Source organism: Homo sapiens, chromosome 11 (genome assembly GCF_000001405.40).
Source record: "Homo sapiens chromosome 11, GRCh38.p14 Primary Assembly".
Lineage (NCBI taxonomy): Eukaryota > Metazoa > Chordata > Mammalia > Primates > Hominidae > Homo > Homo sapiens.
The window spans coordinates 7,663,812-7,678,496 of NC_000011.10; the positions used below are offsets into that span (position 1 = coordinate 7,663,812).

Consider the following 14,685-nt stretch of genomic DNA (forward strand, 5'->3'; position numbering starts at 1 on the left):
TATGACCCTCCCAGCCAGGTGCGGGATATAATCTCATGGTGCGCCGTTTTTTAAGCCCGTCGGAAAAGCGCAGTATTCTGGTGGGAGTGACCCGATTTTCCAGGTGCGTCCGTCACCCCTTTCTTTGACTCGGAAAGGGAACTCCCTGACCCCTTGTGCTTCCCAAGTGAGGCAATGCCTTGCCCTGCTTCGGCTCGCACACGGTGCGCGCACCCACTGACCTACACCCACTGTCTGGCACTCCCTAGTGAGATGAACCCGGTACCTCAGATGGAAATGCAGAAATCACCGTCTTCTGCGTCGCTCACGCTGGGAGCTGTAGACCGGAGCTGTTCCTATTCGGCCGTCTTGGCTCCTCCCTTGCATGTTGTCATTCTTAATGGGGGTTTGGGGAAGGAGTCTGAATAGGTTCCATGGAAGAGATGACACTTGAATTTGGAAACATGAATCATATTTTCCCAGGTATGCCGGAGAGGAAGGGCATTCCAGGTAGACAGACTTGAAACAGCCCAGTACAACCTAGGGATTGCCAAAAGTTGGTAGGCTAGAGCAGGGTTTCCTGGCCTCTGTGCTGCTGTCACTTTGGGCTGCGTAATACTCTGTGATGGAAATACTCTGTGATGGAGGCTCTCCTGTGGGTTTTAAGATGTTTAGCAGCATCCTTGGTCTCTACCCTCTAAATGCTAATAGAGGGTAGATGCACCCCTTCTGTAGCTGACAACCAACATGTCTTTGGACTTTGTTATCTGTTCCCTGAGCAGCAAAATCACCCTCAGTTGAGAACCAGTAGGTGAGAGAATGGGGTCGGAGTTGGGGGCCCAGGGAAAGAAAAATCTGATAAAGTCGGCAGGAGCAAACCAAGAAGGGCCTTGGGAGCCAGGCCCTGGAGTGTGTCCTGGAGAGATGGGGGTGGCCAGAGTGGGGTCTCCCTTGAAAGCAGTGAAGGATCCCCAAGGAGACAGTGAACAGGGGGATGGGTGAGGTTGGCTGTCCCTCCCCCCCACCCCGACAGACCCTCGTTTGGGTTTCATGATACAAAGGATTTAAGGCAGTTTCTGGAACCTGACTTTGAAAGTTGAGAAGTTTCTGTGTGTAACCACTCCTACCATGACCCCTAGTGCCATGGAGAGATTCTTGAGAGTTGATGTGACCCCACTTGGAGTTTTTTAGGAACTGCCCCGACACTTGCCAGTTGTGACCCCCATGGGCATGCAGAAGCCAACTCACAGGCCAGGCCACGGCCTCCTGACTGCCTAGCACGTCCCCCACAGAGCCACACTTCATGGGCTGTCTGCTTTGTACTTGAGTTTATTTCACAAAACCACGGAGAAAGATACTGAAATGGAGCTCTTTCCAGCCTCCAAGCAAGGAGGCCCCAGCAGCCAGTCTCCAGCCCCTTGAGCCCTTTTTGTTAGGCCCACACCCAAAAGAGGAGAACCAGTGTGTGCGCGAAGGTACATGGCAAGGCACTTTTGAAAACATCCCAGTTTACCGTGGTGAAATTGAACTTACTCTGAAACAGATGAAAAGGGACATGCAAAATTGCTGAGCACGTGGAGGTGTTAGTAGGTGAAAATCATGTCCTGGGTATAACCCAGCTTCTCCAGGTTAGGGTGAGCCGCCGTCTGGATTAGTGGTGGCGGGCCACACACCAGGATGAGCGTGGACTTCGCTGGAGGAGGAAGGTGCTCCTTGATCATGTCGGCAGTAACGAAGCCTGAGCTGTACTTCCAGCCTGAAATGAAGGAGATGCAGGAGCAAGCTGAGCGATGCCAGGTGGAGTTCCTGATCCCAGGCCGCCTGCACACCCACCCTCAGCCAGGGAGGAGGTGACAAGCTGCTCTACAAAGGCTTAGAAGTCTGTACTACTGCTCCCTGCAAAAAGCCTCAGAACTAGTAAACAGCCCTCTGCAGCAATCACCCCAGGTCCCAGGCTCACTGCAGGGACCCTGAAGCCCTGCTGCTGTCTGTCAGCTGTCAGCATTGACGAGGAAGGAGAACACAACGAGGTATACCGAGGTGTGTGAATCAGTACAGCCAGCTGGAGTTGTCCGGCAGGGTGTGGCCTGGTGTTAGTGGAACTGCGCAGAATTGCTCAGTAGGGTAGCGCCCTCTGCCGACCAGGGACCTGTATGACAAGCAGGTACAGCCGGGAGCAGTGTGAGAGGCGCGCCTGTGGGGTGCTCTGTGCACAGTGGTTGCTGGGATGCTGTCTGGGCTGCAGCAGCTGTCTGGGGGCTCAGCATGTCCAGGTGAGGTGGGCGGTAAGGGGTGTGGTGGCCGTAAGCAGAAGGGTGAGTGGTGAAGGGGTCAGTGCCCATATTAGATGTGTATGTGATGGCTGTGTGGAATGGGTGGGTGTTCACAGTGGACAGGGGCAGTGTCCCTTTTGATGTTCAGTGCAGCGTGAGGTGCTGCTGATGTATTAGACACCTGCTCTCGATTGCCCTTAAAAGCAGGCCATCCCAAATCCTTTCTCCCTCAATTTCTCACATTTCCCATCTGGAGCCAGAGCCCCAGGCTTAACCCCCACATCTGGTCCTACAAAACTAAAACAAAACAAAGAGACAGAGACCAGTCCTCAAAGTGGTCAAGGGTTGGTGCTGACCCATGGTGAGTGAGGGCAATGGATGTCGTACCAATGGGAGGCCTGTCCAGGGTGTACCACAGGTTGAACTGGTCTGGGTGAGTCCTGGCAATTTCTTCAAGCTCTTTTCTGACCAAGATATCCTCCTCTGTCTAGAAAAGAAGCAACACTGAAAAAGCCCCTCCAGGGCCATCCTCTTGTTCCCTGGACTGACTACACCGGTCAGCATACTCCTGGCCAAAGCTGCCACCACTCCAGCTGGAGTGCTCGCTGCCAACTCCCACGGCAAACAAGAGTTCTGCTGCTGCTCCTGAAGCTCAAACCCTTTGTTTTGTGGATGAAGTTCCTCCATGTGGATGAAGAACCTCCATGGGATGTAGGTTCCCATGGAGCTGCAGTGACCGCCTCCAACTAGAAGGACCTTAGCCAAGCGCTGGCCAGGATGGCTTCACTCGGAGCTCCAGCCCTGCCTCCTACATCTACACTGAGCTCTAGCACAGCAAACCTAACTGGAACAAGCTCAGTGCAGGCCCAGGATCTTCTGGAAGAAATGTAATGGGCTCAGAAAGTCCTGTGATAGAACAGCACTGGATATGTGAAGGAGAGGAAAACAGTCTGGAGCCCCATTTGGGGGAAAGGGAACCAAAGCCAAAAATAACCTGTCACAGCCTCAAAGATAACTGCACAGAAGACCTGGATCTTAAAACTCCTCATGATTCTCATCCCAGTCATTCCACTTCTGGGATTCTGTTTTAGAAAATAATCTAAAAGTAATCAAGCGTAGGCACAATTATTCATCACCATATTATTTAGAACTGAAAACAGCCTGAATGTGGAAGTTAGTAAATTATAGTGCAACTTGATAAAAACTATGATGAAAATATTTATAAAGCATCTTAAAGAGAAGAAAATGCCTGTTGTGGTAATGCTGAGTGAAAAAAAAAAAGCATATATAAATTACAAATATATAACATATATAGAAAAAAGATTTAAAAAGTAAGTAAATATTTATATTCTGTATTTTCTGAAGTGTCCACTGAGGACATCTGTGATTTTACACTTAGCAAAAATACAGCAGTACATCTTAAGGAAAAAAGGAATGCTTAGTGCTTAGGGCTGGCTGAGGAGACACAAAAGAGTTAAATACATGCAAAAAGCAGGCCTGGACTCAGCTTCTCCAGCTGCCAGCAGCCCTGTTGATCCCACTAAGCCCTCCCACAGATGCAGGCACCCAAGCAGCATGAGCTCAGTCAATGCAGGAGAAATGAAAACAAGAGCCCAGCTCAGCAAACATTCCATCCTACCACTGCAAGCTCAGCAGGAACTGACCTGGTTGGCAAAGATGAGGGACATCCTGGTCCTGTCACTGGGGTCCTTGGTGATGTGGCGAATGAGCTGCAACATGGGTGTGATGCCTGGAACACAGTGAGCGAGCAGCCAGCTTTCTCCCTGTCTCTGAAGCCCACAGTCCCTGACCTGCAGCAAGCTTCATACCTTCCCCCAGCCCAAGTTATCCTTTTCTCACTTCTGTCCCCAAAACTCAAAGCAGGAAACAGCCCTTCATTTTGGTTTTCCTTTCTAATGCAACAGTAAGTCAGGTAGTCTTTCTCATTTTCATATGGCAAGATGGAAAGAACACTCTAAGTTCTTCAGTGTCCTCATTCATCAAACAATGACGGGTAAATGTGATCGTTTTAAGAATGCCTATTACAGTGCCTGGCACATTGTATGTCTCCTTCAAAGACTGCTCTCTTTCTTCAGGCAGTCATTTTCAAGGGATGGGGAGAGTCAGGCTTGAACTGGATCTAGGAGCCCCTGGGACAGCATGGGTGGGCCTGCCCAGCTTGCCCCCAAGCCTGACCTGAAAGGTCCCCACAAGGCTCCTGAGCAGCCACCATATTGGTTAGGGGAAGCAGGGTACACAGGGTCAGTTTCAAGACCTGTCACTGGTTCATCGTTCCCACCTTCTACAGCTGGAGGCGAAATCTCTCATGTTGTCCCTTAGAGGATCAAATGACTCCCAAGTCAGAATGGGTCTCGGGGCTCACTCTCTGGATGGAGCCCCTAGAAGCCTCTTACCTGTGCCCCCAGCAATCATTCCCAGGTGATCGGCCAGTGTTTTTTTAGGCTCACTCGTCTGGTCTGGTCTGATTCCAAGATTCCCTGGAAACACAGAGAATGCTTATGACCTCTGCAGTTCTTGCCTAAAGAGACTGCAAAAGATCACTGACATTCCTTAGGACTCCCAGGAGGCACGTCCAGCTAAGGGACTGTCTGCACCATTTTAAGCTGGAGAAGCAGGCCAGGGCAGTCTCCTCAGCTAGCCCTGGTGCTCCAGTGCACAAAGTGGGAATAGAGCCTGGGCTTGGTCGGGGAATCGCCGGGCCTTCTGTTCTGAGGAAAAAGAGGGGCAAGCTGAAGTTAACACAGAGACTCAAAGAGCATTCTCACTCACGGAGGTGAACCAGTGAGTAAACAATGGCTATGTGAGTAACCAAGGAGCATGGACTCCCTCCATCCATTTTTCAGTATTAGCAGGCACCATTTATGTATCAGGCATTGTGCTGGAGATTTTGATACAATGACGAGGAAACACCAAGTCATTCCCCTACCTTACAAAAGCTGACAACCTCATGAAGTGGGTGTGTGAATGTGTAACAAGTGTGATCATTATGCATTGTGTGTGAATGAATGAAGACTAAGGACAACCCCATGTGACTCAAATCTGAGGAGTGTACGAGAACAATGGAACCATTGCAGGAATCTTCCTCCCAGCTGGGAGCCCAAGTATTAACCCCTCCAGTACCTGGCCCATGGTAAAACAAGCGTCCCCTTGGCCCTCGAAAAAAGATGGTCTCCCCGATTTTCATGTTCTCCAAATACTGAGTCATCTTCCCACCTTCAGGATATTGGGGGTGTACATTTTTGAAGTAGATCTGAAAAGCAAGGCAGCACTGCTTTCACATTCCCAGACACAATGCCACAGCCACGTACAACTAGAAAATGCATTTACTGCTGGAAGCTTTGCAGAGAAAGTGTTCTCCTCTCTGAATTGTTGTACGCAATCCCTGAAGATGAAGCTGCCACAAGGTTAACTGTAGCTTCACTGCTGGAAAGCCCTGCCTAGGGCATATGTGCCCTCAGAGAAAAAGCACTGCCCCTCCACCCCACCACCCTCAGTAGGCTTGGAAGCACGAGCTAGCCAGATATGGTGGGCACTATTTACCTTTATAATTAGGTCCACAAAGCCTCTGTCATCATCACTGGAGACAGGGGTGTAAGCCCTGACCACCAATTCATTATCGATTTTTGCCAAGAGCTGGACATAGTTACCTATAGAAAAGGCATCAAGCACTGAGTCAAAGCATATTTAGCTTAAATAAGGCCCAGGAATAAAGGACTGAGCTTCAGTGAAGGGAGCAAATACTGGGGGCACAATGTTAAGAGGGGTGGGAAGAAGAGAGCAGGGAAGGAACCCAAATATGGGATGCCCGGATCCTAGGCCTGCCCTGCCTCCCTGTGCTACCCTAGGCAAGTCACTTCACCTCTCTGGGTTTTGGTCTCTTCATCTGTAAAATGGGGGTGATATGTCTGCCCACCTGTGATCTTAGTGTAACTGCTTTTTGGAGCAGGAAAAGATCATTAAAGTTGGAGAGTGAGTATTAAAAATTACAGAAAGGGGTCAGACATGGTAGCTCACGCCTGTAATCCCAGCCCAGAGGCGGGTGGATTGCTTGAGCTCAGGAGTTCGAGACCAGCCTGGGCAAGATGGCGAAACCCCATCTCTACAAAAAAATACAAAAAATTAGCCAGGTGTGGTGGTGCACACCCACAGTCTCAGCTACTTGGGAGGCTGAGGTGGGAGCATCACCTGAGCCCAGGAGGTCGAGGCTGCAGTGAGCTGAGACTGTGCCACTGCATTCCAGCCTGGACGACAGAATGAGACCCTGTCTCAAAAAAAAAAAAAAAATTAGAAAGGAATATTTGTCTATTCAAGAAAAATATGTGGCCTTCACAAACTCCTTTCTTCCTAAACTGGATGTATCACTGAGATCTGTGAATAAATTACAACTACTCCATCTGTATCCTGGTACTAGGCACAGAGCAGGCCTGGGCTCACAGATACTACAGGGCCCTAGGATTTGGGTACCCATGGAGCAAATGAAACAACAATATCATGTCTTCCTGGCCTATGGCCTTGTGAGGAGTAGCAGTGAAGTTTTTAACCATGTAACTCTGCCCTTCCTGGGTAGAATTCAATAAACCAGGTGTGGCCAGAGACCTATGGATCATGACTACATCCCACTGTCAGATGACACACTGGGCAGCTACGACCTGTTGGATCCAAAATGTGAGACTCAAATTACTAAGGCAATTAGTGGCAGGGACAGGAGTGCAATCAAGAGATACTAAGAGCTAGAGGCAAGAGAAAGTTTTGTAACCCTAACCCTTGACTAACTTCCTGTATGTATGTAGTCAGTTTACTCCCTCAGTTTCTACTCGCTCAGAAACTGAGTGGACTACATACGGGAAATTAGTCGAGACAAGGAAGATGGAACAGAGAGATGGATAGAAACCAAGACCTAAGGTGCAGGGAGGAGGAGGAGGCAGGAGGAGAAAAAAGCAGGCAGAGTAGGCACTAGAGGGGCTGGTCCCTGAAGCTGATTCAAGGGGATGAGCCAAGTCTTTGAGGTGCCAACACTCTGGGCTCAGAACAGGCTCAATGACTCTGGTCATGGTCCCTCTGGGCACCAGGGATAGCCAGGAGTAAGTGAGACACCTAGCTTCCTTCTGAGAACCTGAAACTGGAAACCTGGAAAGGCTCTTTCATATGCAGCCACCTAGGCCTGGCCTGAGGGTGTCCCCAGGGCAAATGGGGCTCCCTGGCTGGTCCTTCAAGCCCCATCTCTAACTTGCTTCACTTCCACTGGGCTGGGACGAAGCAGCGAACTCTGAGGCCTCATATTAGACTCTCCCAGAGGCCTCTACATTACCTTGTCCCACTAACTTTGCACGGCCTAGGCCAAGGCTGAGGAGATAGTGGGTCAAGGCAGTTTCTAAGCAATTCTCTATCTCAAAGTTTTTCATTCTTTTAGGCTTCCTGCCAACAGGACCTGCCTGACAGGCCGAGCAGGGAGCTGAGAGACGGCACGCACAACACTGAGCTCTCGTGCATAGAGATGGAGTGAGGGAACAGCAAGGAGGCTCAGGGGCCCAGCGAGCTGGCTAGAGTGTAATCTCACCACCTGATAGAGCTGAGGTCAAGGTTTTGGCCTGTGCATATAAGACAAATAGGCCACGGAGTAGGATCCACCAGGCAGGCAAGCAGCACTAGCAGATTATACAAAGCTGCTCTGAATCCCTGATTCTAGCAGTTTTCTACTGCACTAAGACTGACTCAGCTATCTAGTGGTGTTACAGATTAGAAATGGGATAACTCAACTCTAGGACTCCTAGGGCTGGAATCTGCAACTCGTAGGGCTGGTCCCTCCTTATGTGGGTCTGAGGCCCCTGCAGAGAATCTAAGTGACCTTGGGGGCAGGGCACACCTGACTCATTCCTGCCTACCCGCACATTCTGGGCCTTTCCCCGACCACTGGTTCCTCCCATCCCTCCCAGGTGCACAATACTTTGTAGTTTCTGAATTTTCATATCCATCAGTCACTCTACTTTCACAACAACCCAAGTGAGGTAGACAGGCAGGCCTGGGAAATCCCATTTCATAGACTGAGGCTCAGAGAGATTGAAGGACTTCCCTTAAGTTCCCCAGCAAGGAGCCTTCCATGAGATTTTAGGCCTTTTGGCTCTAGGTTCAGTTCTTTTCAATGCTCACTGAGGTACCACTCTCGTGTCAGCCCAATTGGAATAATGAAGAAAAGAAATTTTCTGTCCCACATCCATCCCCCTATCTATCTCCCTGAGCTCACAGGCTCAGGAGGAGCAAGAGGGCATCTTCCACACCTCAGGACGTGGGAAACCTGTGTTTCTGTTAAGAGAGGAGGGCCTAGCCCCCAGAGGCCCCAGTCCTGGTGATGACCCAAGCCCGGCTCACCTACAGGAAGCCCTAAGACATGGTCCGGCGAAGGCAGTCCAAAGCGGAACCTCCGGGTGTTGTGGCTGATTTTCTGATAAAACAAAACATAGGCAGGTTCTGTCAGCTTTCTAGAAGCCTTGCTGGGCAGCTGAGATGCCTGGGAAAGGAGGTCCGTTTGGCGCTATTCCAGCACACACACACACACACACAGGGCGGCGGGGAGTGAACTGGAGGCCATGAGATGACTGTCTGGATGCCCTGCCATCCCAGCCATCATCCACTTACTGCCTTCCACCCACAGGGCTGACCCATTACCTCTTTCTCAATCAAGGGCAGCGGGTACTTGGCTTCAGGGTCCTGTAAGGTGATTGGCTCTCTCCTCCTGGAGTTCATGCTCTTCAGGACCAACACGAGCACAGTGACCCCAGTGACGGTGATGGTCAGGAGCAGGGACGGGTCCTGGCAGACACAATGTGAACAGAGCACCTCAGGTCTTGCCCGCCCTGGACAGGGCAGCTCTCAGGCGCAGAACACCCTCCCCACACCAAAGGCACAGGAGCTGAGCTCTGCCTGCAGGAAATAGGCAAAGAGAACAGTAGTGACACAGAAGGCGGCTGGGAGAGCCTGTCGTGGACCAGAGGGTAGGGAGGGGTCAGCTGCAGGTCACACAGGAAGGATGTTTCAGGCCCCTGGAGCAGGCAGCACACATGGCCTGGGGTGCTCAGGTCACTAGGCCCCTCCTGGCTACAGCCAAAGGTTCATACACTGGAAGTCCCTTCCTTGAGGTGAAGGGGGAGGACATCACCCCTAACACACAATCCGGAATGAGGGGCCCAGTCCCTAAAGACAGAACTAGGGTGCGTAGCTCTAAGAGGTGCCCCGTGACTTAGGGCCTGGGGACTCCCCAACAGTCTCCTGGACAGGGCGAAGGGGGCCTGGGCACTCAACTGCCAGAGACTCGGGAGCCTCCCCGCATCTGTCCCTACCCTACAAGGCCGCCCTGCTCCTCTCCCAACTCAAGCCCGACAGGGAAAGTTGCCTCTCCTCCCGCCGGGTCACTGGAGTCTCAGCCTTCCGGAATCCGAGCCGGCCCGCCCCACTCCCCGCCCTTCGCGGTCCCGCCCACGACCTCTCCCCACGCCTCCCGCTCCGGCCCCCAACCTCCCGGTCGGACGTTCGTTCCCGGCTCTAGCCGGCCTCCGCGCCTCTGGCCTCTTTCCTTCCGGCCGTCCCGACGGAGATATTTCTTCAATACTCCATAAATACACCCCGCCGCGGAACCCACCCGGAGTGAGACGCCCAACACGTCGTCGAACTGGGGTTGGCCGGGGGCCGCTCCCCGCCGCGGGCCCGCAGACTCGTGGCGTCGCCCCGCAGCTCCGCCTGGCCGACGGGGAACCGGCCGAGACCCGGACACGCACGCCCGGGAGGACAAAAGCGCGGGCGGACCCCGCAGGCTGGGACCCCGGCGGCTGGCCCGCTCCCCGAGAAGGGCCGTGGTCGGGGGGCTCTCACTCACGAGCCGCTGGCTCTGGGTCAGCCCTGCCCCCAGGGCAGCGCTCCATCATGAGGCTGGCGGGGCGCTGAGCCGTGGCGTCCTCGCTCCTGCGCTGCCCCTCTGCATCCTGGCCCCTTCCCTGCACACGCAGAGCTGCCACACTGAGCGCCCCTCAGCTTACTTAAGCTCGGCAAGGCTGGAGAAGGCCGTCTGGGTGACCGGGCGGAGGGGGATGCTGGGGAAGGAAGAATTCAGGCAGCTGCAAAGAGCGCGCGAATATATTCATTCGACATACCTCATGGGCGCCTACCCTGGGCCTGGTCCGGGGCGGGTGTTTGCGGGGTGGGGCCGAAGCAGGGGCGTCGCCGAGTTGAAGACGTGTACTCCGAGCGCTCCTGCGTTCATTCATTCGCTGGGTGGAGAGAGGAAGGACAAGAGCCCCGCGCCGATCGGAGGGGAGCAGAATAGTAGGCACAGTTAGAGGGTCTTCACGGTGCGTTTCGGAACCTTGGCTGCCCGGCTCGCCCTTGATTACAGGCAAAGGCAAATTCTTGCCTCAGGACCTGTGTGAAACAGAGAAGCCCAGAAGCAGATCCCCACCTGTTTGACTCTGCTAGGGCTGCTGTAACAAAGTGCCGCAGACTGAGCGGCTTAAACAACAAAAATTTATTGTCTCGCAGGTCTGGGGGCTGGAAGTCCAAAATCAAGGTGTGGGCAGAGTGGGTTCCTTCTGAGGGCTGTGAGGGAAGGATCTGTTCCATGCCTCTCCTAGGTTTGTAGGAGAGGGGCTAGGAGAAGGGGCATCTTCTTCCTATGTCTCCACATTTTCATCCCTCTGTGTGTGTCCCTGTGTCCAAATTTCCCCTTTTATGAAGACACCAGTCATATTCAATTAGGGTCCATCCTAATGACCTTGTTTTAACTTGATTACCTATGTAAAGGCTCTACCTTCAAATAAGGTCATATCCTTAGGTACTGGGGCTTAGGGCTTCAACATAAGAATCAGGGTGAAAACAATAACCCATAACACTTTACCAACCCTTCTCCCCAAGACACACACCACCACAGGCTCAAAAATTCTTGCTGTGTGAATGAATAAACAAACTTAATTTTCTCTCTTTGACTTAATCAAATGCCTTTACTTTTGATTTACCTGCAGGTGCTTGGTTATTATAGGCAGATATTTTAATTTTTGACAATGCGATAAGTGTAAAATGATGTATCAGGAATCCAATTTGCATTACCTAATAACTGCTAATAAGTTTGAGCACCTTTCATATATTTATTTCCCATGGAGTTTCCTTTTCAGAAAAAAAAAAATGCCTGCTCATAAATTTTGCTCATTTTTCTGTTGTCTTTTTCTTACTGATTTTTAGGGGTTTTATATGTTTTAGATATCCCTTCTTTGCCAGTTACATGAATTAGTAATGTTTTCTCGTAATTTGTAACTTATTCTTTCTTTTTTCTTTCTTTCTTTTCTGTCCCACCTTTTTGTGGTGTAGTCTGATGAATAGAAATTTGAATTGCAGTATAACCAAATATACCAATCTTCAATTTTTTTGCCGTTATGGTTAGTGATTTTTGTGACTTGTCTATTTCTACCCAAGCCCTTAAAGATATTCTATATTTTCCCCAACAAGATTTAAAGATTTTCCTTTCACATTTAAGTTTTTCAACCACTTGGAATTGATTTCTGTGTAGGATGTGAGGCAGGGATACAATTTCATTTTTCCATGTGGCTAATGTGTGTTTTTCAGTAACATTTATTGAATTGCTCACATCTGGCCACTGACCTGCAACTGACCTGCTACCCCTGGCCTATATCAGTTTTCATAGGTGTGTGAGTCTAGCTCCGGCCTCCCATTTCTCTTACATTATCTAGCTGCCCAACCTTGTCGCAATACTACACTGTTTTAGTTACGGTAGTTTACAACAAGTGTTTATGTCTTTCATTCTTATACATTCTTTAGATCTCAGGTCAGATATCACTCCCTTGGAGATGCCTGCTGTGATCCCCCAACTTAAGTACATGTACATATTATAATCTGTTAAGTTTAACTTAAAGCTGCCTCCTTAATGTTTTAGTTTCACCCTAAAAGTTTCTTCGTACATAGTGAACTGTAACCTACTCTTGTATCAATCATGGAAGTTTCAGCCCATTATAGGCAGCCAACTGTTCAGACTGTGTTCAGGTAAGGCAAATCATGAGCTGTAACCAATCCCGCTGTTTCTGTACCTCACTTATGTTTTCTGTACATCACTTTCCTGTTTCTGTCCATAAGTATTATGCAACCACGTGGCAGCCCCAGAGTTGCTCTGAACCTATTCTGGTTCTTAGGGTTGCCTGATTCATAACTTGATTTTTGCTCAATTAAACTCTGTTAAATTTAGTTTTTCTTTTCGTTTAACTATTCTATTCATAGCTTTTTTTTTCTTTTTTCAGAGACAGTCTCACTCTGTTGCCCAGGCTGGAGTACAATGGCACGATCATAGATCACTACAACCTTGAACTCCCCGGCTCAAGCTAGCCTCCAGCCTCAGCCTCTGAGTAGCAAGGACTGTTGCCATCATGCCTGGGTAATTTTTGTATTTTTTGTAGAGATAAGGGTCTCACTTTGTTGCCCAGGGTGGAGAGCAATGGCTATTCAGAAGTATGATCATTGCACAGTACAGCCTGGAACTCCTAGCCTCAAGGGATCTTTCCTCCTTGGCCTCCCAAAGTCCTGAGATTTTAGGTGTGAGCTACCACACACGGCCCTATTCATAGCTTTTACTTTCGTTTGTAATTGTGCATTTGAACAGTGCGTTATTGAATGACTGACTTTCACACTAGTCTGGAAGTTCCTTTATGGCAGACACCTTGTTTTCCTAGGGTTTAGCACACTGACTGTCACAAAGAAAGCATGCAATAAATATTTAATGAACAAATGAATGAATTCATCTCTGCCTTATGTGTGCATTTAGCACACATGATAGACACTCCATAAATACTTCTTCACCTAGGAGAGGAATAATCCTTTCCATCGCACTCTGTCCCCCTTCCTTGCTTAATTTGTCTCCATAAGACATAGCACCAGATGATATATTTTTTTACCTATACAACATATTTTACTTATTTGTTACATAGAATGTAAGTGTATTAATCCATTCTCATGCTGCTATAAGGACATACCCGAGACTGGCTAATTTACAGAGGAAAAAGATTTAATTGACTCACAGTTCAGCTTGGCTGGGGAGGCCTCAGGAAACTTATAAAATCATGGCGAAAGGGGAAGTGAACACATCCTTCTTCACATGGCAGCAGGAAAGAGAAGTGCTGAGCAAAAGGGGAAAAGCCCCTTATAAAACCATCAGATCTTGTAAGAGCTCACTCACTATCACAACAGCCTGAGGGGAATTGCCCTCATGATTCATGATTCAACCACCTCCCACTGGGTCCCTCCCACAATATATGGAGATTATGGGAACTACAATTCAAGTTGAAATTCGGATGAGGACACAGCCAAACCGTATCGTAAGCTTCATGAGGATAGGAGTTACTTTGTCTGTTTTAACTACTGCTATATCCCTAGAACAGTGTCTGGCAATTGGTAGATGCTCAATAAATACTTATTGCATGTATGTATGAATGAATGAACAAACATTGTTTTCCCCCTTGGACTCTGTCAAAAGCTTTTACTTGTAGCTTTGAAATCCGGAGGCACCTCACCTTTTCCTGTGGTTTTCTTAGTAGTTTGTTTCTACCCTTCATTCTTCCCTCTCATTTTCTCTGCCTGTTCCCTCTGTGTTATTAGAGAGGCAGATAGCAAGCACATTCTCTTTATTCATTCTTGGAGCAGGATAAAAGGCATTTTTCTGGGCTCCCAGTAATCTTGAAAGGGCAGTGATTCGCCTCTCTTCTCCTAACTCGTAAACACTGTAAATGTGTCCCTCACATGCTCATGTGCTGCCTGGATTTTGGCTCATTTTCTACTAATCCCCTGAAATAAACCATGAGCACAAGTCTCATGTCTGTAAATCCCCAGCTTGATAATAGGGCCTGGCAAGGGTAGGCTCTCAACAAGCGTTTGCTGAGGAAAAAAAAACAAAACAAGATGAACCTCTGTTGTCACTGTTTGAACATCTGTGAGACTCCACCCCACAAGATTCAGCTCTTCCTGTGCAGGAACGAGGCCTCCTTCATTGCTGAGTACCTCTGGAGGGAACTGATGTCCTGCCCAAGTCATTGGTCAATGAGTGTTTGCCATATGGAAAAATGCTCCACATCACTAATCATCAGAGGAATGCAAATAAAAACCACAATGAGATACCGTCTTGCACCAATCAGAATGGCTATTATTAAAAAGTCAAAAAATAACAGATGTTGGTGAGGCTGTGGATAAAAGAGAACGCTTATACTCTGTTGGTGGGAATGTAAATTAGCTCAGCCACTGTGGAGAGCAGTTTGGAGATTTCTCAAAGAACTGAAAACAGAACTACAATTTGACCCAGCAATCCCATTACTGGATATATCCCCAAAGGCAAATAAATCACTCTACCAAAAAAACACATGCACTTACATGTTCA

General features: G+C 49.3%; 2 protein-coding genes and 1 long non-coding RNA gene across 13 annotated transcripts in view, besides 3 other annotated features; 2 read left to right on the plus strand and 1 right to left on the minus strand.

Moving 5' to 3' along the window:
* PPFIBP2 (PPFIB scaffold protein 2) overlaps positions 1-3,493 on the plus strand; it is a 153,306-nt gene extending 149,813 nt beyond the window's left edge. For both annotated transcript variants that reach the window (XM_011520415.4, XM_047427751.1), the window contains one exon: positions 2,744-3,493. In XM_011520415.4, the coding sequence (XP_011518717.1) occupies positions 2,744-2,800 (57 nt within the window). In that variant the 3' untranslated portion in view covers positions 2,801-3,493. The remainder of the gene's footprint in view (positions 1-2,743) is intronic.
* On the minus strand, positions 1,284-10,456 carry CYB5R2 (cytochrome b5 reductase 2). Of its 10 annotated transcripts, NR_126508.2 has the most exons (10): positions 9,608-9,689; positions 8,937-9,080; positions 8,640-8,712; positions 5,814-5,920; positions 5,394-5,523; positions 4,667-4,750; positions 3,917-4,002; positions 2,640-2,739; positions 2,016-2,128; positions 1,293-1,735 (listed from the first exon to the last, which is right to left on the minus strand). NR_126508.2 is itself a non-coding variant. In XM_011520184.3 (9 exons), exons 2-9 carry the CDS (start codon positions 9,012-9,014, stop codon positions 1,563-1,565), a joined length of 831 nt encoding a protein of 276 aa, XP_011518486.2. In that variant the 5' UTR covers positions 9,015-9,080; positions 10,415-10,456; the 3' UTR covers positions 1,293-1,562. The 10 variants fall into 10 exon arrangements, 9 of the variants coding, with proteins under 9 accessions (NP_001289756.1, XP_011518486.2, NP_001289755.1 ...); XM_011520184.3 differs by lacking the exons at positions 2,016-2,128; positions 9,608-9,689 and adding an exon at positions 10,415-10,456; NM_001302826.2 differs by lacking the exons at positions 2,016-2,128; positions 9,608-9,689 and adding an exon at positions 9,907-10,456.
* Positions 9,302-9,351: an enhancer, noted in NCBI's record as "active region_4376". NCBI's record gives its function as "activates an Ori minimal core promoter by ATAC-STARR-seq in GM12878 lymphoblastoid cells {active_cell/tissue: GM12878}" and the evidence as "EXISTENCE:reporter gene assay evidence [ECO:0000049][PMID:35858748]".
* Positions 9,372-9,471: an enhancer, noted in NCBI's record as "active region_4377". NCBI's record gives its function as "activates an Ori minimal core promoter by ATAC-STARR-seq in GM12878 lymphoblastoid cells {active_cell/tissue: GM12878}" and the evidence as "EXISTENCE:reporter gene assay evidence [ECO:0000049][PMID:35858748]".
* Positions 9,992-10,201: a silencer, noted in NCBI's record as "silent region_3111". NCBI's record gives its function as "represses an Ori minimal core promoter by ATAC-STARR-seq in GM12878 lymphoblastoid cells {active_cell/tissue: GM12878}" and the evidence as "EXISTENCE:reporter gene assay evidence [ECO:0000049][PMID:35858748]".
* A 2,192-nt stretch (positions 10,457-12,648) lies between the features above and the next one.
* The window catches only part of LOC105376533 (uncharacterized), a 44,608-nt gene continuing 42,571 nt past the window's right edge, over positions 12,649-14,685 (plus strand). Inside the window, exon 1 of the long non-coding RNA XR_007062576.1 lies at positions 12,649-12,696. This is a non-coding gene — a long non-coding RNA (uncharacterized LOC105376533). The remainder of the gene's footprint in view (positions 12,697-14,685) is intronic.